This window comes from Homo sapiens, chromosome X (genome assembly GCF_000001405.40).
Source record: "Homo sapiens chromosome X, GRCh38.p14 Primary Assembly".
Classification (NCBI taxonomy): Eukaryota; Metazoa; Chordata; class Mammalia; order Primates; family Hominidae; genus Homo; species Homo sapiens.
This window is the reverse complement of record NC_000023.11, coordinates 100,323,059-100,348,721: the sequence shown is the minus strand read 5'-3', so window position 1 is coordinate 100,348,721 and position 25,663 is coordinate 100,323,059. Positions and strand designations below refer to the sequence as shown.

Genomic DNA, 25,663 nt, shown 5'->3' with positions numbered 1-25,663 from the left:
CCTCTGATTTTGGTTAATTACTTTATATGTTTTTTGTTTATAGACACATACACACAAAAGGCACAACCTAGACTTAATGGGCTCTTGGTGAAAAAGTCTCCTGATTTTGCATGAAATCAAAGATAGCTTTTTCTTCTTTTTTTTAAATAAAACCAGGGACCACCTTGATGAAGAGGAAACATCTGAAAACTCAGGGACACATGCATTTTTGCCAGGGTTCTGTTTACAGAGCCATGAGAGCTTTGGGAAACTCTGAAGGCCTTGAATTTGTGTGGTCAATTGAGTTTAGATGAAGCATAATACCTAGAAAAATACAGGGAATCTTGTGTGCTATGCTGTTCTGGGGACCAACTGTGTTAAATGTAAAATGTGTGGAAAATGTTGAGAGTGGTGGCTAACACCAGGTGATAAAGTCATGCGAAGCCTGTTCAAATAGCTCACAACAGTGTTTGAAAAGGGTTTTGCTGTATGTGGTTTCTTGAAGATCCATTTACATGCATGGTAAACGCTCTTGGCCAGGAAATTCTGAATCTGATTATCAGTTTTAATTTTACTATCAAGTCCCTGTTTCTTTGAATGCCAATACAATACAATTTCAGGCTAACTTTGAGAACTTCTTTTTCTTTCTTTCTTTCTTTTTTTTTTTTTTTTTTTTTGAGACGGAATCTTGCTCTGTCACCTAGGCTGGAGTGCAGTGGTGTGATCTTGGCTCACTGCAACCTCCACCTCCCGGGTTCAAGTGATTTTCCTGCCTTAGCCTCCTGAGTAGCTGGGATTACAGGCATGCGCCACCGTGCCTGGCTAATTTTTTTTTTATTTTTAGTAGAGATGGGGTTTCGCCATGTTAGCCAGGCTGGTCTTGAACTCCTGACCTCAAATGATCCACCCACCTTGGCCTCCCAAAGTGCTGAGATTACAGGTGTGAGCCACCGTGCCTGGCTGAGAACTTATTTTTCTATCCATGTTCTCTTCTTCTATTCACTTTCTACTTATCCAAGGATGTTTCTTGGACCCTTCTTTTCGGCATTCTCTAGCAGTTGTTAGCATTCTTAGCCAGACTGTTTACATACAGGCATCTTTTCCTCTTTTACATCTATCTACCTTGAGTAGTTGAACAGCAGCTACCACTGTCCACCTCTGGTTCTTTCCTTCATCAGTCAGGGTTCCTACATGAAATAGTTGGCACGCCTAAATTGGAATGGCTTGAGGAAAGTTTATTTACAAAGAGGACCATTTACAAAGGCTTGGGCACGGTTAGTGAACCTCAAGGGATACTGCAGTATTATGGCACTGGAGGAGCTAAAAATACTTCAGACAGGACCAGGGAAGAGAGCATGTAGGGAACATTGACTTGAGAGTAACAGTGACTTCTGGTTGGCCAAGGGATCCAGTCATCATGAAGTGACCCTGGAGGAAGGGAGCAGAGACAATCAATATCCTGATATCACTGTCCTCCCCTGCTCTGATCTCCCGCTGATGTCTTCCTTTGGCTAAACCCAACAGAAAGCCAGAGGGCAAGGGGGTTCTCATAGGCACAAATCAAGGTTGAGAAGGATCTCAACTGTGGGAAAAGGAAGTGATATGGCAGGCTCCCCATAATTTTATGCACCAAGGAATCTAGCATTATATTTCTGTAGTTTTTTTTTTTTCCAGACTGTCACTTGCAACCCGCAGGTGTACCCAAGGAGGCTTATGTGAGGGCCCCAGATTAACAAATCATGGCAGTGCAGAGTTTCTTCTGAATGGACTTCCTTCCTGCTCTGTTTGTTTCTTGCTGTCTTCTCAGAGCAAGGAAAGCCAGCAGTGGTACTTTGTCGCTGCTGCAGCACTCTTTCCTCATGCCTGTTTTGTGGGCTGCTGTCTGATATCCACTCCTACAGTGCTTTGGGAACAATATCAAGCAGGGCATAAGGCTGTGGCCCAAAGAAAATGAAATAGGAAATGAACAAAGCACTGACTCAGCGTGGAAAGGATTAGGAGCTTTGGCTCCCTAAATCATGCACAATGCTTTCTTTTTCCACCCAAATTGTCCTGGGGTTTTTCCAGCACTTCGTATGGTGCCTTGTATATAATAAATGCTTGGTACATGTTTATTGAATGAATGCATGAGAGAAATGGAAGAAAATCTTAGCATTTTTCTATTAAAGACTAGCACTAGATTTCTCTTTAAGCCAGTGATTTCTGGATTTTAATGTGCATTGGAAACACCTGGAAGGCTTGTTAAACGCAGGTATGCTAGCTCCATCCCTAGAGAACCTCCAGTTGTAACAGGTTCCCAAGGTGATTGTGATACAGGTGGTCCAGAAACCACTCTAGGATTTTCCTTGTATTACTTAAATACAGTTATAATAATCTTCATTCTCACTCCTTGCTCATTCTTAGCCTCAGATATCATTCCCTGGGTATGTAGTATCACCTACTAGTAAGATATAACCTGTTTCCATTCTGAGTCTTATGTCTTTTGGAAAAGAGTTCTAATATTTCAGATGGTAAATATGGGTCAGAATTTGTGTGATGTTCATTCGTCATGCATCTGCTGAGTAACTCTTCTGTGCAGAACCCTGTTCTAGGTGTTTTCAAACATATCTGTCTTTTTGTTGGCCACCAGAGCAGTAATAGAAACATGGGCATTTACAATACCATTGGAAACAGGAACCCCTAATTTATTGTCCCACAAAAGTTGTTTTACAAGTCCTTCATCTCCCAAGAGGTATGCAGGTAATAAAGCAAGTGAAATCAGCATTTTTATGCCTGGCATAAATTGTTATTTGTTTTGGGTGAGTAGCCATTTACCAGGCTATTTTACAATATGTGGCATCTTGCTCACTGGGTCTTAAACTGCCTTACACAAATCCATTCATTAAACCACTAAATGCTCTTACAAGATCAGTGTAAGTGGTGCTTAGTTTGTCAGATGGGCAAACTAATCTTTAAATGAGTTAACTATTCCAAGGTTTGGGGGAGTTGTTATACCTTGCTTTTTGTTCTGAGAATACACAACTTCTCGTGCTCACACTACCAGTCCCTTACATCCTAGTAGCTAATCCTTCACTGTTTTATTATTTCCATAATTTCTATTCAAAAAGCAAAATCTCTGAGGTTGTTTGTAACATTCAGATGCCTATGAAAAAGATGATCAATTTTTTAAAAGGCAGATCCAAAACCAATTAGGAGAAGTAAGGTAGACATCCCTGGCATCCAGGGAGGTAACTGACTGCAATTAAACATTACATTTATGTTGAAGTTTTTGAGAAGTGAAGACAAAGCAGTAAGTACACCAAGTGATATAGTTTTAATTATTCATTAAAGGAAGGATGGCCATTTGACAGGAGAACTATTATTTTCTGTTCTTTAATGTTAGAAGAAATTAACACACACACACATAATAGTGTGTGACTATTGTTTACAGAAGATATAGAAGTGTTCTTTAAATATAAATTTTCTGTACCAATCCTATAAAAACTATGGACATAATATTTAATTGTAACTCAGTGAAAACATTACTACACAGAATAATGATGGTATTAAACAATAACCATTTATGGAGCATCTATGTGTATCTGGTACTTCATGTACAGAGTCTCTTTGAGTCTTCTAAATGGCCTTGTGAAGGGGGTTTTAGCAAACACATTTTACAGATAAAGAAACTGAGATTCAAAGACATCAGATATCAGGTCCAGGGTCACACAGATGAAGTGGCAGATTATAGATTATTACTTGTCCTAATGACTCCAAGTTCAGTGCTCTTTACTACAGTCTGCTATAGAAATAAAGAACCTAGAGCAGTTGTTCTCAACTGTGGGGTGATTTGGCAATGTCTCTTTGGAGACACTTTTGGTTTTTTTCCTTTAAGTGGGGGTCACTACTGGCATCCAGTAGATAAAGGGCAGGGATGTTGCTAAACACCTTATAATGCACAGGACGGCCACAACAAAGGATTTTGTAGCCCCAAATGTCAATATTGCCAAGGTTGGGAAGCCCTGCTCCAAGGGCTGGTTAATTACATTGCCCCCATACTAGATCCCTCACCATCATATGTTTCAAGCAAGTTTCAACAGCTGCTGAATTCAGAGTTGAATTCTCTGGCTTAAAGTGACAACTTTGTGTTGTGGATTAAGGACATTTTCAGATACCAGAAAATATACAGGTTGGAAAGTTAAGTATTTGTTATAAAAATGGACCTGAATATCATCCAGGCAGGTCATTTCCTTTCTCCAGAGGTACAGGGGTGCTTGTAGGCAGGCACTCACCTCACGTGACAGAGAATAATTTCTAAAAAACAAACTTTACATCTATTTAAACTGTGGGATTATAATAGTATTTACAGAAAACTCCGTAATATGTGCCATAAAGCTAGAAATGGTGAAACACTTTAAATCATGTGTTTCCAATTGGCCATCATGGCCATAAAAGAACTGTAAGATAATTTGCTTGTTTGTTTGTTTTTTAAAGAACGGCATCCTGGTGGGTCCATAAGGCTGAGTTAGCTGTGTGACATAAATTGAAGGAGCTGAGTGAGCTGGCCTATTGAGTAATTTTAATTTTAGTGCAGTTGATGCTCAGTTATTCTTTCTGAAAATAATTAGCTAACAGGTCAATGCTTCACTCTCTCCTGCTCTTCATTTTCTTATAATTATGGCTTTCCAGTTACTGGCCTCCTGGTCTTTCCTTTTTATATTCAGGTCAGCAAGCATTCTACATCTAGGTTGGTCATATGTTAAAAATCTGCTGTGATTCTTCTTGACTAAGTGTGGAGGGTGACAATGTATCCATTGTGTCCATGGCATAGCTCTTCATTATATGTGCTGAATCTTCTTATCAGTCTCAGAGAGCCAGGCCTGTGAATGTCCAAGGTTGAGCAGATCAAGTGAGTTTGCGGTGTCATTTCCACAGGGCTCTTTTCTCAGAGGCATAGGTCTATTAGGGTTTGTGTTAATTCACAAACATGCCATTCTTCCTTGTTGAGGCAACAACACATTTTCTTGAGTGTGCCTTTGCTGCTTCCTCACCGACTAGGGAATGGATTCACCATCTACTAGGTATTTCAGATGCATAATTTATGGTTCATGGTGTAGCAAAGCTGGGGATTCTGTCAGGACATACAAAGTATTAGAAATAGTAGGTGGGTGCCCTATAGCTGTACCTTATGCATTATTCTCCATTTCATGAGAAATGGTGTGAAGTTCTTGGATTGCATGCATAGTGCATTGTATGGTAGATTGATTTAATAAATGCAAGAATCATTTTACCTATCAACACTTGAGCTGAAAGTTTTCATGTTCTTAGTATAACTATACTCAGAGTTGCATTAGTGCTCACTCTCTGGCTCTCACTTTTGTCTTGCCTTCTATATTAGTCAGGGTTCTGCAGAGAAACAGAACCAATAGGCATATCTAAATCTATAAATATGTAGAAAGAGTTTTATTGTAAGGTATGGGCTTATGTGATTATGGGGGCTGAGGAATCTCATAATCTGCCATCTGCAAGGTGGAGAACCAGGGAAGATGGAAGTGTAGTTTGAAGGCCTGAGAACCAGAGAGCCAATAGTGTAGATTCAAGTCTGGGTTTGAAGTCTTGAGAACCAGGAGCGCTGAAGGCGGGAGATGATTAATGTCCCAGTTCAAGCAGTAAGGCAGAGAACAAACTCAACTTCTTTCTTAATTTTTGTTTTATTCAGTCCTTCAATGGATTGGATGATGCCCACCCACATTGGAGAGAATTGTCTGTTTTACTGAGTCTGCCAGTTCAAATGCTAATTTCTTCTGGAAACACCTTCATAGACACACCCAGAAATAATGTTTAACCAGCTATCTGGGCATTCCATGGTGCAGTCAAGTTGACTCACAAAATTAAACATCACACCTTCCACGCTCAGCTACTGACTCTCCTCTTTTTCTTTGAATATGTTCATCTATTTTTCTCAGATAAAACTGACTTACTGGGTTCTCTGATCCTGATAATCCTTCCTATTTTAGTTGCACTACTTCAATTTCTGCTACCTTTGCTTTTTACAGTTGGTTAGTAGACATCTTTTAAGAATCAGTGTACATAGTGGTTAAATTTCTAGGCAGGCTCTGGAGCTAGACTACCTGTTTTCAGTCTTAGGTCTGCTATATTTTTTACCAGCTGTGTGACCTTGGGCGAGTTATCTCACTTCCATGTACCTCTGTTTTTTTTCATCTGCAAATGAGAATATTAGTAGCACCTTTCTCTTACAGAGTTGTGATGATTTCAACAGTTAATTAATGTCAAACACTTAAAACAGTGCCTCACGAATAGTAATTGCTCAGTAAACACTAGCTATTATTATTTTACTTTGATTTTATAGGAAGAGAAAAGTCTTCTGAAATGATGACATTCTTTAGAGGCAGTTTTAGAATTGTAGCTTCTTCCACCTTGTCTGTAGTGATGCATTGAAGATAAGTGAACGAAAATATTAGCTGTATCAGCATCCAATAGTGGGAACCTCTGTGCAATGTTAAGTTTTATTATCTTTAAGCACAAATTTCTCTTCCCCTTATTCCTACCCTATTGGACAGTCTAGCCACTGTTTGCCTCATTACAGAGCCGACATCATCCTGGCTCAGAAAGATTTTTAAAATCAGATCTGTCACGGTCGTAAATTATCATTCTGTCTTCAACCCAGCAGCTCCACCTTCAAGGACTTAGAGGGCAACAGCCTGAAGGATAGTGGACATGAGGAGAGTGACCAAACTGACAGTGAGCATGATGTCCAGCGGAGCCTGTATTGTGATACTGCTGTCAACGATGTGCTGAACACCAGTGTGACCTCCATGGGATCTCAGATGCCTGATCATGGTAAGGACTGGTTGGATGTAAGTTGCAGCAATCGACTCCAAAGAACCCAAAATGTTTGTAGGCACACTATACTACTTTGCTTAATGAGTGTATTATCAAGGTGTCTACAGAGCTCACACCTCAGCAGCATCTACAGGTTTTTGAGATGTCCTGACACCTAGCCAGATTCTTCTTTGCCCTCCCTAAGTGGATCCCCTAGGTCTGTATAAAGTTCAGGCACTTTAGAAGCTGACTACATGTGCATATTACATACATTTTCTTCAATAAAACTGCACTGAGCTCATAGGAGATGAACAGATGCCTTCTCTCCAGGAATAAATGCCTATTTTTGCTTTAGTACATGAATTCAGCTGATCAATCGAATTGCATAGAACACAGCACTAATGAGACCAAAGGGGTGGGTTTTATTTCCCTATCAGACTGGTTAGCTTTACCCAGAGTGAGACTCTGTTCTCTCATTACAGATTGTGTACTATTTACTGAGGATAGAAAATACCAAACTTCCCATTTTGTCTATGGGGCTGCTATGCCAAATCCCTCCCTCTAGCTTCCACACAAAACCATGCCATTAGTCATAGGGGAGACCAGGGTAAGAGAACGTGGCTGAGTCAATGTAAAATATTCCGTTAATGTGAAAGGCACCTCAAAGCACATGTCAGGAGTGGCATCCTCATGTATGAAGAAGAGTCTATTTCTGTGAACTCGGAACTCAGCCACACATGCTTTATCGAGAGGCACTATTTAAAACTTTGCTAGGCAGAAGCCAGGGTATAAAAACATTAGCAGAGTTCAGCTAAGGCAGAATGTTTAGATGGACTTGGGCACAAATGTCATTTTCAATATTTTACTGATGCAAACATGCTATGCAAACAGCCTGTCTTTTTCAATTAAGAAATATGAATTCAACTTGGTGGTTAGGCTCAGTGAAGCTTCAGAATGCTTGGCTATGTCTTGAGAAAAGCTAGACTCAAGCTCAGCTGGAAGCCCTACTGCTAAAAGACTTAAAAATGAGAAAACAAAATATGGTGATTATGTGCTGGTCTTCAGCTGTTTCATTTCACTGTAAACATCATTAAATGCTTTTGTTTTGGTTTTTGGAAATAAGTCCAAAGGAAAAAATGTACTATCCACAAAACAAAATGTTTTTCATGGAAAAAAATTAGTCACTGTAGATTCTATTAAATTGTCTTAATCCATTCCCTCCCCAGCAGACCCAAGTGTCAAAGTCTATTATATAGAGAGGTCACTATGAATTGTGCACTGCTGTCTTCCCTAATTGGTGAGTGGTGACATCTGCAGAGATAATACACTTTCTGGGAAACCTTACTATGACTAAAGATGAAAAAAATTAAACAGTTATATAACTGAAACAGAGACAATTTAATACTCAGAGGATTAGCAGTATGTCACAGGATGCAAACTGATATATATCATTTACTAGTTGTGTGTTTCAAAGAAATGCTTTTTCATTTATATCAAGAAAGGGTTTTAGTTAGATGCTCTCTAAAATGAAATGACTCCAGGAAAGGAAATAGTCATAATTGATTCTCACTTTATGCCTGGCTAGAACAACATCTGTTTTATTTTTTTGTCACATTTCTCTAGGAAAACAGTATCAGGGAACTGCAGCTAGTTTTTTCTGAGAGAGTGTTTCTTACAAATTGGATGTATTACATATATATGTGTGTGTGTATATATCTATATATGTGTACTGTGTAGATTGGATAATAAGACGAGTATTCTTTTTTGTGAATGCATACCTAAATTTTATTTCAGCTTAGTCATTTGGGTTGAAGGTAGAGACCACCAGTCTCCATATAGGTAGAGTGACCACATAACCCAGTTTGCCTTGTATACCTCACTTTACATCTGTGTCCTTGGCATAATCAATAATGAGAATATTCTAAAGGAAATGTGTGGCAATACTCCAAGATTCCCCTACATATAAGATGATGATTTTACACACACACACATGCATACACACACATACACACTTTCTGCTGGGCCATTTTGGCAACACTTTCACATTTTGTTTCTTACTATTTGATTTGCATGTGTGTATCTTCATTTTTTCTATTATTCCGGCAGTGGTTAAACCTTGAGCCAACCCTTGAGTGAGTTCTTTTCAACTTGTGTGATTGCCTAAAGTTTAGGTACAAAAAGAATTTGGGCCTTGTTTATACCTCAGTCTCTCCCTTGTGATATCCCACTACTTCTGAAGCTTTCTGTAATAATACTTGTGTGTCCCATAGCAACTTCAGGCTTGCCACAGATTCCATCACCAGTTCACTTGGACTGATACTGCAACCTCAAAAAAGAGCAACAATTCCAACAATTAACATTTCATAGCATTTTAATATCTCAAGTCTGCATTTGCATAATAAGTATATCACATTTTATCTTAAGGTACAGTGGTTGAAAGGCAGTCACTGGGTGATCCACCATGCATGCCTGATCTTATAGCCATTTTAGTTAGATTGTCCCAGGGTAACATGGTATTGTTGCTTCAAAGGATTACCAATTTAGAAAGGTGAGAAGGGAAAATAGAATCTGCACTGGACTGAGACCTGTACTGAAAATCTCAAGAATTCCTTGAGGAGAAAAAAACTAGTCCCCAATCCCCTTGGTTCATTGACAGTGTGATGGGAATCTTAAACCCAAGTGTTCTGAAATTCTTGGAGTTCCAGAGCAACTGTTCTTGAGGTTTGGGTAGGTGTCACTGGAGCAGAATGAAGAATGTAGTGAATTTGTCAGGCTAACTCTGATCCTGGTATTTCTTTTAGTCCTGCCAGAACCACTCCAAAGTTGGGCCAAATGTATCCAACAAGAGCGTACCTTACACCTTTGTTTTGGGGAGTTTGGCTCACCTTGTATTCCATGTCTGTAGTTCTCTCTGTGACTTTTCTAATTTGGATATTAGTACTGCATATTTCCTTGCACGTATGTGGACACATGATTGAAGGGGAATCTCAGAATTTCAAAATAAAGATAATTTTGTGCATCTGTTAGTTTTTCCTTTGAGCAGGAATGGTTTGTTCAAGGAGCTGGTATTGTGTTGCCTGTGTTTGGGGTAAAGGTATAAACTATATTTGCTCCTCTTTTTAAGAGATACCTGGGCCCTGTGCTTTTCCACACTGCCAAAATTTCTATGGGATTTGTCCTTAAGATTTTATTGTAGCAGAAGAATGATCGGTGTGAATGACAAGGGTGCTTTGTGACTCTGAGTAAGGGCCCAAATTCCTTAATTTTCAGTAACCCTTCTCTGAGAACATTCCTAGAGGTGGGAACCCAGAATCACTATATTTAATGAAGGAAGGAGAATGTTATATTCAATAAAGGAAGGAGAATATCTAGAAGACTTCTTTTTTTTTTTTTTTTTTTGAGACAGAGTCTCACTCTGTCACCCAGGCTGGAGTGCACTGGTGCGATCTCTACTCACTGCAACTTCTGCCTCCTGGGTTCAAGCGATTCTCCTGCCTTAGCTTCCCAAGTAGCTGGGACTACAGATGCGCACTACCACTCCTGGCTAATTTTTGTATTTTTTTTTTTTTTTTTTTTTTTGAGACGGAGTCTCGCTCTGTCGCCCAGGCTGGAGTGCAGTGGCGGGATCTCGGCTCACTGCAAGCTCCGCCTCCCGGGTTCACGCCATTCTCCTGCCTCAGCCTCCCAAGTAGCTGGGACTACAGGCGCCCGCCACTACGCCCCGCTAATTTTTTGTATTTTTAGTAGAGACGGGGTTTCACCATGTTGGGCAGGCTGGTCTCGAACTCCTGACCTAAAGTGATCCACCTGCCTTGGCCTCCCAAAGTGCTGGGATTACAGGCGTGAGCCACCGCGCCTGGCCTAGAAGACTTTTGAACTCAAAGGGCAAAAGTCAGGTATTTAGTCACTAGGAAGTTTGGATTATGTGTTTCCTTTTCAATTTTTAAAAATGTCTAAATTTATTTTTTATTTTGTTTATAATTGACACATCATAATTTTACATGTTTGTGGGGTACAATGTGATGCTTCAATACATGTATATGTTATATAATAATTAAATCGGGGTGGTTAGTATATCCAGCAACCTCAAACATTTATCATTTCTTTGCAGTAATAGCTTTTAAGATCCTCTTTTTTAGCTATCTTGAAATATACAATGCATTGTTATAAGCTATAGTCACCCTACTATGTATAGACACCAGAAGGATTGTGTTTGATTGTCCAACCAGACACATTCGTGAGCTCAGTGAGGGTGGAAATGAGAGAGAATGACAGGAATCTCTGCTTTCTGGATTACTGTCAATCTTGGTATTTCTCTTGACATGCCTAAGACCAGGTCAGTTGGTTGATGAACTGGCTAAGCTGAATTTCCTGGTTGCCAGCTGACTGAATTACAAATTGATTTGTTATCCAGTGCCCATGAATTAATACGTTTCAGTTTGTCCTTAGTATTCAGCTCTTGTTATGGCTTCCCAGAAAAGAAGATGATAGAGAATTCTTTATCCTGTGCTTTCTACTGGTGTATTGTAGAATGGCAATTTGGAATGCTGTCTCTTAATAGCTCTGAGTGGCTTGAGACCAAGTAAGTGTTGTCATTGGCGGGTTTTACCACTTGATTTGGTTCTTGAGGCAATTTGGTGCTGAGCTTGGGAGTCAACACTCAAATTTTTTAACTGATGCCTTCTGTCCCTGAGGGAATTACTTGGCTTGAGGGAGTCTGAGTTACCTGGTAAAATTACCACCCTTTGGTGGGGATAAGAATTTTGCCTTTATGCGGTTCCTGCAGAGACTCTCTAAAAAGAGTGATTGACAAGTAGAGTAGTGAGAGGTGCCAGAGGCTCATGGGTTTGTTGCGTGATTAGGGGTATCATGGGGCTTGAATTTCTTCCTATCCGGGTTATCTCTGAGCTAAGTAGTGGGGGCTGGGGTCTGGCTCCTTCTTGCTTCTTTGCATAACAATTTTTGATGATGTGGATATCCCATTATTCTTACTTAAATATGTAATCCTGATATGAGATTGGGGTTTATAGGGATCATGCCCTAGAAGTGTACACTAGTCCCAAGCTCAGCTATTTTGTTTCAAATTACACTCAGTCCCTCTTTCCTTATGGTTTTAATTATTGATTATAAATTCATCAGATGAAAAGATGACTCTAATTGCTCTAATATGCACCCAATTTGGAGTTCGCTACAACACTGAATTGGTTTCCCTCCATGCTAACTGATACCAAATGGAAGCAACTTACAGAATTTTTTTGTAAGATTTAGCTGCTTTTCATATCCAAATGCGTCCAAATGCAATATAATGATTGCTTTATTTCTGGAAGTATAGATTCTTCTGTTTTAGTAGACTTGTTTATTTACCAGTTTCATCACCTGAATAGCATTTAACATGTTTGCTGTGTATAACATGGATTTGAAGAACTTGATCTGTACCTAATGCAACTGCTGTTAACAAATTTGCCATGAAAATGTTCTGTAGGCTGCGTACTATGCTTATTCTAGTGTCAACCACAGGTATATTAAGATGTTTACACTTTCAACACTCTACCAACAATATGTAATTTTGTTTCCTCTAGCCATTTAAAGAAATTATGATTCCATGACTGAACATCCTTCTTTTATCTTCTTATCTGTCCCCCGACTCACCTCTCTCCTCACTGAATTTTGAAACACTCATTTCAATTAGTCTCTTGGCAAAATAGGGAGTTCTCAATGGAGACTATTTTGTGTCATTGCAAAGCAGTGTGCTGCTGGGCTCCAGATATGGTAGCATGGGCCAGATGTTCATAGAGTAATTGAAAATTCCATTTTATCAGAATAGCATTTGCTGTCAAAAAGTTTTATCTTTACGTGAACAAAGCGGTTGATTAGATCCCCCTGGACCTGAATTAGCATCTTTGAGGCTAGATACACTGTTTTGCAATTCATGTGGTTATTTCTTTCCCAGTTTTGCTCATATAGAGACTTTAAAAAATGTCTTCATCCTCTTGCAAATATACCTAGTGAAATTTAATTACTTGAACCCAGGAATGTGTATACAGCGTTTCTATATATGTGATTTCCAGCTGCTTTCATCCTGCCTCTGGTATACTAGGCAGGAATAAACCATGAACAGATATATATCACTCATTACTCAGTAATATTTTTGAGTGCCCACTATGTGCCTGGCTCTGGGAATTGAATGTGTCAACTACTGCTGTTATTGACTGTAAAAGTTGTTATCTTTTTACTTTTATTAATCTGGGGTTTACTGAGGTGACCAAGGCCAGCTCAATGATGAAATGAATAATTCTATTTTAAAAAATTATAAGAATAGATTTTGGGGCCATTAAAAACCTTGTGAATATTGTGCCAGTAAAGCAAGAGAAGCAATATGAAAAGACTGTTACAATCAAGATCTTATTTTCAATGGGAATGTCATGAAATATTCCTCCTTTGATGTTCTAATTTGGACAGTATCACATTGGTAAACATTTTTTTTTAAAATCCACCTGTTGTGAGGTTGAATTTCCTACTCATCTTTGGTTAATGTCATTGTAGGATGCTAAGTTTAATCTCTGACATGTCCAATTACCTTGCTGGTTTAGAGGCAGTCAGTAGCACTCAATGCCTAGTACCCCTTTTTTTCTGATGCCCAGAAACTTTATCCTTTCTCTCAGTCTCAGCAGTTTTTGGGCAGGTAGGAAGAGAGGTGACAGGTGGAGCTTTTTCTTTTTTTTAGTTCAAAACCAATTATCTGCTGTACCACATAATTGGATTTTTTCCAAGGCAACATTTACATTTTATTGGAAAAATAATCACTAAAATAAAAAGTTGTTCTTCACTAATGGAAACCTCCCTGTTGTTAGAATTTCTTTGCTAGTATTCTTTTGGCATGGGCCCTTTGGTCAAATAATTGTTTTAGGACAGTTCACCATTGGTTTCTTCATGCAGGACATTAAGAATAATATCAACCGTTTGTCTAATTTTAAATAGATACGCTATTGTGTTATAGCATATCTATTTAACATATTGTGTTATAGCATATTGTGTTTCCCAACATATATATATATATATACAGACATATATATGTATATGTGTATATATATGTGTATATCTATATGTATATATATCGGGAAAACACATGCACACACACACTATACACACACACACACACACACACGTTGGTTATATATATGTTATGCGGTTCCTGCAGAGAGTCTCTAAAAAGAGTGATTGACAAGTAGAGTGGTCAGAGGTGCCAGAGGCTCATGGATTTGTTGCATGATTAGGGGTATCATGGGGCTTGAATTTCTTCCTGTCTGGGTTATCTCTGAGCTGAGTAGTGGGGGCCAGGGTCTGGCTCCTCCTTGCTTCTTTGCATAACCATTTTTGATGATGTGGATATCCCATTATTCTTACTTAAATATGTAATCCTGATATGAGATTGGGGTTTATGGGAATCATGCCCTGGAAATGTACACTAGTCCCACATTCCTGGATTCAAGTAATTAAACTTATATTTGCAAGAGTATGAAGACATTTGTAAAAGTCTCTATATGAGCAAAACTGGGGAAGACATAACCATATGAATTGCAAAACAGTATATCTAACCTCAAACATTTATCATTTCTTTGTGGTAATAGCTTTTAAGATCCTCTTTTTTAGCTATCTTGAAATATACAATACATTGTTTCTTTCCATATGTATATTTATGCTTGCTTTCTTACTCTCTGTATATGTAGTGTGTGTGTGTGCATGTGTGTTTTCCCAATCTACTTGGAACTTTTAGTTGTCTGATATTCAAGGTTATTTTAATATTTATTATTACTAATAATTACTTGTGGTGGGCTGGGCATGGTGGCTCATGCCTGTAATCCCAGCACTTTGGGATGCTGGAGCAGGTGGATCATTTGAGGCCAGGAGTTCAAGACCAGCCTTGCCAACATGGTGAAACCCTGTCTCTGCTAAAAATACAAAAATTAGCTGGGCATGGTGGCACATGCCTGTAAGTCCAGCTACTCGGGAGGCTGAAGCACAAGAATCACTTGAACCCATGAGGCAGAGGTTGCAGTGAGCTGAGATTGTACTACTGCACTCCAGCCTGGGTGACACAGTGAGACTCTGTCTTAAAAAAAAAAAAAAAAAATGAAGAGGAAAAAAACAAACAAAAAACGAAAACAAAAACAACAGAAAAAAAACTACCTGTGGTAAGGAATTCATTACTCATCAAAAAATAAATGCCAAAGCTTTTCTTGATTAGTTGACATTAAGAATTTCCATATTTTTAAGCATTTTGAAAGCATTAGAGGATGCAGGATATGTAAAAGGAGCACAATGAACAATTAAGAATTTCATTCTCCAGTAGTTTATGGCCCAACAGCAAAAATGGTCCAGTATGGAATAGACTACATAGGATCGGTGAAGAAAGTAATTAAGATTTTTGAGCTGGAGACCAAAATGCATTTAAAAGGACACTTTGGTGTAATGTGATCTCTTTGGAGGAATGGTGGAAGCCAGGCCCCAACATAGTATGCTAGATAAAATTATGCTCTATTTGGGTGATTTACTAGGTGAATGTTTTCCAGTAGCTTCATGAAAAATCAACTTCTATAGGCCATGAAAAGTAGGGACACTGCCAATAAGTTAATAGATGAGAGACAAATCAAGTTGTTTTGTGGGACTTTCCCTTTCTTTCTTTCTTTCTTTCTTTCTTTCTTTCTTTCTTTCTTTCTTTCTTTCTTTCTTTCTTTCTCTCTCTCTCCCTTCCTTCCTTCCTTCCTTCCTTCCTTCCTTCCTTCCTTCCTTCCTTCCTTCCTTCCTTCCCTCCCTCCTTCCTTCCTTCTTTCCTTTTTTCTCTTTCTCTCTCTCTTTTCCCCTTCCCTTCTCCTCCCTCCTTTCTTTTCTTTTCTTTTTTCTTTCTTTCTTTTCTTTTTTTGAGATGGGTCTCACTCTGTCACCCAGGCTGGACTGCAGTGGTGCGATCACAGCTCACTGCAGCCTTGACCTCCTGGGCTCAGGCGACCCTCCCACCTTAACCTTCTGAGTAGCTGGGACCATAGGTGCATGCTTGGCTAATTTATTTTGGTAGAGACGGGATTTTGCTATGTTTCCCAGGCTGGTCTTTAGCCCCTAGGCTCAAGCAGCAGTCCTCCTGCTTTGGCCTCCCAAAGTGCTAAGATTACAGGCATGAGCCACCGCTCCCAGCCTAACATTATTTCTGTCCTGTCATAAGATGATTAAGAGCCATAAACTCTTATCAGGATGGGAAATGATAAATCTAAACATGGATTTTAAATATTTGTAGAGTATTTTTTTCTGTTTATTTTCCTCTTAATCCTTTTGTTATGAAATAAATATGGGGAATTAAGTCCATTCATAGCCAGTTTAAGGGATTGATACCAAGCATTTTTTTTTTTTTTTTGAGACGGGGTTTTGCTCCAGGCTGGAGTACAATGGCACGATCTTGGCTCACTGCAACCTCCGCCTCCCGGGTTCAAGCTATTCTCCTGCCTCAGTCTCCTGAGTAGCTGGGATTACAGGCCTGTGCCACCAAGCCCAGCTAATTTTTGTACTTTTAGTAGAGACGGGGTTTCACCACGTTGGCCAGGCTGGTCTCGAACTCCTGACCTCAGGTGATCCACCCGCCTTGGCCTCCCAAAGTTCTGGGATTACAGGTATGAACCACCGCCCCTGGCCCCATAGTTTTAAAAGCAATTTCAACAATACCAAAATTATGTATCATTTATTTATTCTGTGGACAAAATAGTCGTGAGATGGCTTTCCTCTTTTATGATAGATGCTTTTTGTCATCCAGGGTCAGGACTTGCCCAAGGTATTTTTGGTCTCTTGTTTTTATCAGATGGCTCAGTGCCCTGTATACTTTGCATCAAGGAAAGCTTAATTGATACATCCACTTTGGAAACGTGGCTTTTTGACAAGAAAGCCTTTTTAATTTCTCTTTCTTTATATAAGGCTTATCCCCAGTAAAACTCCAGCCTAGAAAAATCATTGTGTTACTCCATTCTCACACTGCTATAAAGAAATGCCCGAGACTGGGTAATTTATAAAGGAAAGAGGTTTAATTGACTCACAGTTCTGCATGGCTGGGGAGGCCTCAGGAAACTTACAGTCGTGGCAGAAGGGGAAGCAGGTACTTTCTTCACAAAGTGACAGGAGAGAGAGAGAATGAGGGAATGAGAAAGTGCTATACTTTAAAACCATCAGCTCCTGTGAGAACTCACTCACCATCATCAGAACAGCATAGGGGAAACCGTCCCCATGATCCAATCACCTCCCTCCCTTAACAGGTGGGGATTACAGGTCCCTCCCTCAACACATGGGGATTACAGTTTGAGATGAGATTTGGGTGGGGTCACAGAGCTAAACCATATCAATCATCAAGCACCAAATTAGAAAAGGTTTGAGCTGCTCTTTTTAGGAACATCAGAAAAGTTGCTTTTTAGGGGATCACACACAGGTTCTTCTTCTGGGCATATTTTCAAAGATCTGACATAATCTAGGCTTAGGTCTTAGATGGACTTGTAAAGCTCACAGTGGATAGATAAAACAGACTCTTTTGCAACTGGACAAAGTGGAACCCCATAGACCAATCATTCTGCCAGGTAGAGAGAATATAAAGCAGTTCCTCATAGTTTGCGATGAAGAGATTATTAATGAAATATCAGTCTCCAGAGCTGTTTTGGAGCAAATCCTTTGGGACTGTAAGTGTGTGTGTGCAGGTGTCAATGTCAGAAGGGTGCTGTAGGATTTTAGGTTTTGTGGTAAACACTGGACTTCACTTAACAATGTGCCATTCAGAGATCTAATATGTGGTTGGAAGTATGTGTAGGATGGTGTGTAAAATAGGTAATTCGAAAGGCAGTGAATCTGGAAGGGGCCAAAAGAATTGATCAGAAAATGAACTCTTTGTGACTGAAGTTACTCAAAGTTTTGTCACATTGAGGCGGCCTAATGACAAATACTTTTTTCTTTTGAGGGTCTCTGGTCATCAGAAACAATAGTTGTACTTCATTATCCTTCATGACAGTTTAGACAACAAAAATGCAAGCTATTAAATTTGAAATAATAGACAACCCTGTTTTATCATTAGTTTAGTTCTTTTTAACCTTAGTAATACTCATTTTAATGGCAAATAAGGCTCTTTAGGTTACTGCCTTAGTTTAACAGGAAAATTTTCAATCTGGCTAAAGAACTCTAGAGTTTTAGAACTCTAAAAGCAAGTTTATCTCCCTCTGCCCCCAGTAAGCTAAGCCTTAGGGCCTTTCTAAATTATGGTCTAGTCCCTAGACTCTAAGTAATGCAGGACTGCAACTGTAATCTGCTTTGAATAAAAATACAACTTATAATGTTGCTTTCTTTTTAAGTAGAAATCTGTAAACATACAGTACTCTAATAATTTGGAGAAACTTGATACTCTTGCAGCAAGGCAGCTTCCAAGTCATGGGTTTGCAAATCCAAGTCCAATGCCAGAGATATATTTTCCAATTTCTGTGGTCGCTTTTCCACCTCTAAGCTCATATATTCTCTCCTTTTCTATCCTTAACTTGCATAATAATAAATGTTTGACAACTTGCTTTCTTTCCTCCTCTTTCAGTCTCTATGGAGTTTCCAACCTGTGTGAACAATAGAATATTTCCCTTTTAATACATGGAAAAGAGGAAAAAGAGGAATGATGTATGTTTCGAGATATTTAGGCTGGTCAAACTGTTCCAAGGCATCACCACCTGCTGTTTTTAATCATTAATGAGGCTGTCAGTTGCTCTAATCTGGGAGGTGAACCAAAAGAATTGTTTTGACTTTAATTTAATTTAAAAATCAGCTTATTGAAAAAAAATGCTTCCAGCTTCTATGAGTCAGGTTGCACACTGTTGATAAAACAAAGCAAGTCAAATGTTGATGCTGAACCATCATTCATATGCAAACGTGAACCGTTTTAAATTTGCAGAACTCTTATTATTACCATCACTAGCCAGAAATTTTAGTTCTTTTTTTGTTTGTTTGTTTTAAACAGCGTCTCCCTGTGTCGCCCAGGCTGGAGTGCAGTGGCGCGATCTCAGCTCACTGCAACCTCCGCCTCCTGGGTTCAAGAGATTCTCTTCCCTCAGCCTCCCAAGTAGCTGGGACTACAGGCGCCTGCCACCACGCCCGGCTAATTTTTTTTTGTATTTTTAGTAGAGACGGGGTTTCGCTATGTTGGCCAGGCTGGTCTTGACCTCCTGACCTCGTGATCTGCCCACCTCGGCCTCCCAAAGTGCTGGAATTACAGGCGTGAGCCACCGCGCCCGGCCAAATTTTAGTTCTTTTAATTCAAGTAGTCATTGTATTCTGGAGACATGCTGCGTGTAAATATCTGTTCCATTTTTTAGAAGAAAAACTGATGCACCAAAATTTTAAACACTCTATTAATGTCAGAACACAAATCTATAGCAAAGTCCAGAGTGAAGCCTAAAGTGCAAATTCTTTTGCTTGACTCAATGCTCATCACACTGTTTGTATGTTTTAGAAGTTTAGTGACTATCTGTGAGTACTCTATTAAGTTGGAGTTTTCTTCACTGGATGGTTTTGCTTAGTGACAAAATGAGAACTCAGAAATACAGTGTCTGTGCACAAGTGGATTTTAACGACCTAGAGCCAGACCTTTGTTTGTGCCAACTGTCAATTTGGAAGGTTTCATTATGCCTCTCTCAGCTTCATCAAACACTTTCAGATTTATAATTGATGTCAACTGAAGTTGAAGTCAAAGAAAACCTTCTTTTTTTGACTGTAGAAAATATCACCTTATTGTTGGGCCCTGGTTAGCCGGAGGGTAGGTGTATCAAATCACACTAGCCTTCTGCTAAAACAGCAAGTGAGCACTTGCTGAATTCAGCTGATAATCAATCTGCAGCTAATGAGTCTGCAGACAGACTGAGCGGCTGGAGCTGGCACCAGGAAACCACCATTCCAACTAACCATCTCTTATTAACCTTTTGGTGTTTCCTTTGTGACGCTAATTAGAGACCCATAAAACTATCTGCTCTAGATCTTCCGTTTAAAATACAATTTTCAAAGAAACACAATTCACTTTAAGGCTCCTGTTAGTATGGCCTTTTCAAACCTCATGAAGGAAAATGACTGACTTGCCATTTAAGTAAAGTTTGGATAATTAATCTGTAATGTTTTGGTAATTAAAATGCCAGGAAAAGTTGGTTCTGTAGTTGGTATAATTTATAATACTCTCCAGATTCCGGTGGTACTGAAGTAGGCGGCAGATGTTTCTACCACCGTTATGTTTTGACTGTCTGAAAGTACCCATTCCCACGCTGTAGCCCTGTCTGCCAGACTGCCTGTCTGCCTCCTCCTTTGGTGTGAATTTGTTTTGATTGCCTGAGGGGGTTAGATGTGTGCTTTGCTTCCTTTCTGGGGGATGATGAGCCAAGGAATGAGCTTTGTACTCTTGGGAGAGGGAAAAGTCTTCGAAGTTGACATGCTGTTTAGCTCAAAATGAGTTATCAAATGGGCCCACTCAACGTTCAAACTGTTACATTTGCATGATGAAGATGGAGGAGCACCATGCCTTCCTGCTCTAGTCCCCCATCTCATTTCCTCTTTAATATTTTTTACACCCAGAACAAGAGCATTATGAGATAAGTGTTCTAAGCGTGTTGGACCCATGTATTCATCCTGTGCTTTCGTTTACCTGTCTACAGCACCTTTTAGTGCCTCATTTCTCTCATTTGTTTAAAATAAAAAATTACCTAGCATAAATGACTTACATGATCCTAGGGGACAGAATCTCTAGATGAGGAATTGACTGACTATTAAATAAGTGAGATCTGCAAAGCTGGACATTGTTTTATTTGATTTAGCAAAGAGGTACTCTTCGAGAAGCCCAATATTAATCATCTAGGATCCTTTAGAGATTAAAATATCCATACCAGAAATGCAGGCACAGAACCCAATATTCTTGCAGCATTACCTGGAGCCCCTTTGGTATCTTAAGTTTTCATTGTCATCAATATGGAATGTTCAAAGTCCTAAAAAGTCCCTGAAATCATTGTGATATGGAACTCATGTTATAATATATCATTTATCCCTTACAGCAACACTGAAAGGGAGAGACAAGCATAGAATTCCAAATAGTCAACAGAGGAATGACAGCCATCTATAGTGAGGATCAAAATCAGAATCTTGGCTGATGGGGAAAGGTTCAGAAAATTAGAATGAGGTGATAAGAGAGAATGAAATAAGATAAAAATATCTATGGTTGAAACCGAGATTGGCAGGGACAAAAGGGGTATAATCCAGATTTCCTTTTATATGTACTATCTAGCTAATACTCATTGATAAACCTAAGAATTCTAATTCTCATTGGAGTCTTCCAGACAGATAGTGTCCAATCACTTCAGGCTCCAACTAATATGAGCCAGTCCTAATGAATCAGTACAACTATTTCCACTCTACTCCATTATATTCAAGATTGACATCATTAGTCTGCCTGTAAATACAAAGGCAGGCAGAACATCATAGTGGCTAAGAGTACAGACTTTGAAATAATACAGATTTAAGTTTCATGCTTATCTTTGCCACTTAATAGCTATTGACCTTATTTGTTCGAATCCTCAATTTTCACAACTGCAAAATGGGAGTAATGATAGAAATTACCTATCAGAATGTTGTGAGAAGATCCAGATAAATACTTCCTGGAATATAGCAAGTGTCCAAAACATAGCAAGTGTTATTGTGGGGACTGAGTCAGTGGAATAGCCACTTTATAGGATTTCAGGTACCCTACCACTCAAAGCCCCTCATCTGTTTGCTTCTATCTCTGATCCCTTTAACAGAAAATGAGGCATTTCATTTTACAGTTACTGTTCACACTTTAAGCAGTCCATGGGGAGAGAAAATGCATTTATTTAAATTCACACTAAGTTGTAAATAGTTGCTATTAGATTGTTTCTAAGCTTATTATTTGAGAGGAGTGGTGGGGGGAAGAGGATCGTTTCTAGAATATTGAACTTTAAAAGTCTCAGAGGGGAGAATCAGAGGGGAGAAATGCATAGAAATGGGGTGACAACCTCATGAGTTTGCCAGAGCTATTGGTGTCCAAAGAAAGTAATTTGATTTACTCACTGTGAAATGTCTGGATGCTGGAAAGCTGCCTTTACTATCAAATCATTTTTCTGAATCAGCCCAGACTTTGAGAAATTATAACATGTCTGCCAAAGGTTTGAAAAGAGGTTGTGTTCATTTACATTGCAAAATATACATATTCTTGAGCACTTACTGTGAGGTAAGAGAAGCCCTGGTTCCTCTCTGGAGGCATTGACTCCACTTTGCCCTCCCTGTATCAAAAGCTGCATACCCCAGCCCCAGGATCCCTGCTGCTCTTCCCTGCTCTCCCTCTCTTGCTTCACGGTTCTTAAATGGCTAATGGGTGGTAGACGTCATTTTGATTCCTTTATTTTCTCTCCCACTGCATGCCCAGACTTTCATTAAAAAATAAATGAGGGGATGCATTTTTCATTTTTAGTTTATTTTCTAAAAAAGCCACACTGCAAAGAATCCCTTCTATTCTTTTTTTCTAACAATGGACTGAAAAATGCTCAGCTCCTACCTGAAAGGTCATATCTCCTTGCCATATGAATGAGCTTCCAGCAGGTCCATAGGGAGAGTGTCATCTGAGAAATGATGGGAATTTATGTGCCTTTGGATTTTGGCCTCATTTTGTAGTGGAAAAATAAATTTGTTAATGATAGAAAAAAAATCTCAACCAAAGCCCTTTATAAAATTCTCTCTCTATAACTCCCAGGAGGGAGCCTCTCAGACACACAGTTGATAAATGAAAAAATATTTTTTACCCTTGCCTTGCTTAGAGCTGTTTCTCTTATATTAATGTAAGCCAGGTGGCCCACCTTCGCTGATAATATGGTGTTGAATATAGCAACCTGCAGTTCTATTGCATAAAGTATTTTGGCTTGTAAGGGACCTTGTGACATGTTTGTGTTTGTCAACATCCTATTGGAAAGTAGGGCTTGGGGAGACATGTACACACATAGAACTGTGTGGAATTAGGGATATGAAAAAAACAACTTATAACACAGAGGCAAGCACTGTGTTTTTGAAAAAGGCAGATTCATTGTGAAAATAAACTTTCTTTTATAGTTTGAACATTCCATGAACAATGTAACTGGAAGTGCATACTTTTTGCCTTCCCCAAAATCTAAATCCACGTGCTATATACAAAATGCTAAGATCATTATAGTCCTGGCCGGGCGCGGTGGCTCACGCCTGTAATCCCAGCACTTTGGGAGGCCAAGGCAGGTGGATCACAAGGTCAGGAGTTCAAGACCAGCCTGGCCAACATGGTGAAACCCCATCTCTACTAAAAATACAAAAATTAGCTGGGATTGGTGGCGCATGCCTGTAATCCCAGCTACTTGGGAGGCTGAGGCAGGAGAATTGCTTGAACCCAGGAGGTGGAGGTTGCAGTGAGCCGAGACCTCGCCACTGCACTCCAGCCTGGCAACAGAGTGAGACTCCGTCTCAAAAAAAAAAAAAAAAAAAGATCATTATAGTCCCTAACATACTTTAATGCCATGACCTACTGGGAAATGAGAATTGTAGTTTTCATTCTATTGTTTGTTCATTGTAGAGCCTTGGATAAGTCACTAACCTCTCAAAGTCTCAATTCGTATATTTACAGGTGGGATGATGAGCAATGTTGCATTAATGTTGATAAGACCAATAATCAAAGTGTCTATCTGTCTATCTATCTATCTATCTATCTATCTATCTATCTATCTATCTAGTATTTTTTCTTAGTACAATATAATTGTGAATCGGATGGCTAGGTGTTTTGCCGGTTTTTGGTTTTTGTTTTTGTTTTTTTGTTCCCTTCTCTTCCTTGGCCTGTTGACCTGACCTGAGAATTGGGAACTTTATGTGCTCATCATATTCCACAGATTCATAGCCTATAAACAAGTTACTTGTCCAGTCTGGTCTTTGGATTTCTCATCTGCAGAATGGAGGATACTGGTAGTACCTGCCTTGTGGGGTGGTTGTAAGGATTAAATGAGATGACACATGTAAAACACTTAGTGCAGTGTCTGTTCCACAGTAGGCACTTAAAAAGAGTAGCGGCAAGATGATGCTGATGAAACATTCTCCCTGGGTTCCTGTCTCCCCTCTTCACTTATCTACGTCTCTTTCTCTCTTTAAAATTACAAGCAAAATTTAAGTCCCAGAAAGCAGCCTCTTTTGACTAATGGTTTGTCCTGATCTCTCCTTTACTTGGCGTTCTTTAATATCCATGTACAGAGTTTATATCATGTTAATTTGCTTTTTTCCTGTTTTTTAAAAATGTAAAATGAGAGAGTTGATAATTGTTAAGACATTTCAACTTCTGAGCTTCTTTTATTCTGATTTTGGGTTCTGGGTACAACCTTTTCAGATTCCTGAGCACACAGCCATTTGCCAATGGATCTGTAATGAGTGCCACACTCAAATTAACAGATGGTGTGGTGCGCTTGCTTTGAGGGGTAATTACTCTTTCATCTTAATTTCCTCCCTTTGGCATTCCTTCTTTGGATACTGTTCAATGGCAATGCCACGAAGCATAGGATGAAAATCAAACAAGTAGCAGGTCACTTGTCTATCTCAGACAAAATTATTGTTAAAACTAAGAACCAGTGAAGGTCTACCAAGTGAGGGGCTTGTAACTTCTAGTATTAGGGACCAAGTAACTCTTAAGGGTACTTAATTGTCTGATCGTTCCTCCTTTCCTAAACAAGGTGGCTATTTCTAGTTGATAACTGTCTCCATTTTTCTTAAAGTTTAAGTAGATTCCTCCTCTATGGCCATCATGTCACACCTCTCACAGTTGGTTTGTTCTTAAACTCTTAACACTGTAAGCCAAATCTGATGTCCTTTCATCGTTGGAGCCAGTTGTAAACTGCTAACTTTACTATATAAACTCCTTTCCCCTATCTTCTTCCTCCTCTCTCGTCACACACACTTTTTCCCCTGATGCTTCTTATTTAGTTCTTTCTCCAACCCTCCCTGCTTTCACCTCAGCCTAATTCTATCCTTTTCCCCTCTAGGCAATTTCTCATTCATCACTGTGTTTTTACAGAGAATAGAAATAATTTTTAATGACATTGAGAATTTTTTTTTTGGGTTTTAGTGGTTCAGTCTTCCCTTGTGAAGATTTTTATGGCTTATTTTTATTTGGTAAAGTTACCTTCTTTACTATTTTTTCTCTCCTTCCACACAATTCACAGTATACTACCATGAGTGAGGAAAACCCTCAGTGAATAAGCGCTGATCAATTTATTTCTCTGAACATTACCAAACAACAGATGCCATCCACCAATGTTTGATCCCCAGGGCAGTTCTTATCTACCTTATTTTACAGATTCCAGAGGTGAAATGATCTATTGTAAAGCAGTGCAAGGATCAGAAGAGAGTTTGTGTTTCCTGGATATATTATGTGACTTCAGGGCATTGTTCTGCTTTCCATTTGAAATCTCAAAGGCTATTGGACTGACAGGAAGTTTTCATTCCTGTTATGAAAGGGTTACTGCCTCCAGTTTGGAAGAGATGTTGCTTAGGGAAACAGCAGCAGATTATAGCAGTAAAGCCAGAAAGATCAGGGAGTCAGAAGTATTACTATGAGATGGAAGGAAATAGCTGGTGTGCCTAACTAGCTCAGGGGCATGTTTGATAGTACCCAGGTATGTCTACAGAACTGGCACCTGTATAGATATTGACCTCTCAGTGTGTGTTTTACTTTTTACTCTTTGAGTTGGACTGCTGTGTTTTCTGTGTCACTGGTAATTCCATTGACCAAAACACTTCAGTTGAATCACAGCTTGAG

At 39.3% G+C, this 25,663-nt stretch overlaps 1 protein-coding gene across 3 annotated transcripts in view; it reads left to right on the top strand.

Moving 5' to 3' along the window:
• Window positions 1-25,663, top strand: part of PCDH19 (protocadherin 19) — a 118,630-nt gene that overhangs the window by 61,552 nt on the left and 31,415 nt on the right. For 2 of the 3 annotated variants that reach the window (NM_001105243.2, NM_001184880.2), the window contains one exon: window positions 6,647-6,819. In NM_001105243.2, coding sequence (NP_001098713.1) covers window positions 6,647-6,819 — 173 coding nt within the window. The remainder of the gene's footprint in view (window positions 1-6,646; window positions 6,820-25,663) is intronic. The other variant, NM_020766.3, reaches the window with a different exon arrangement.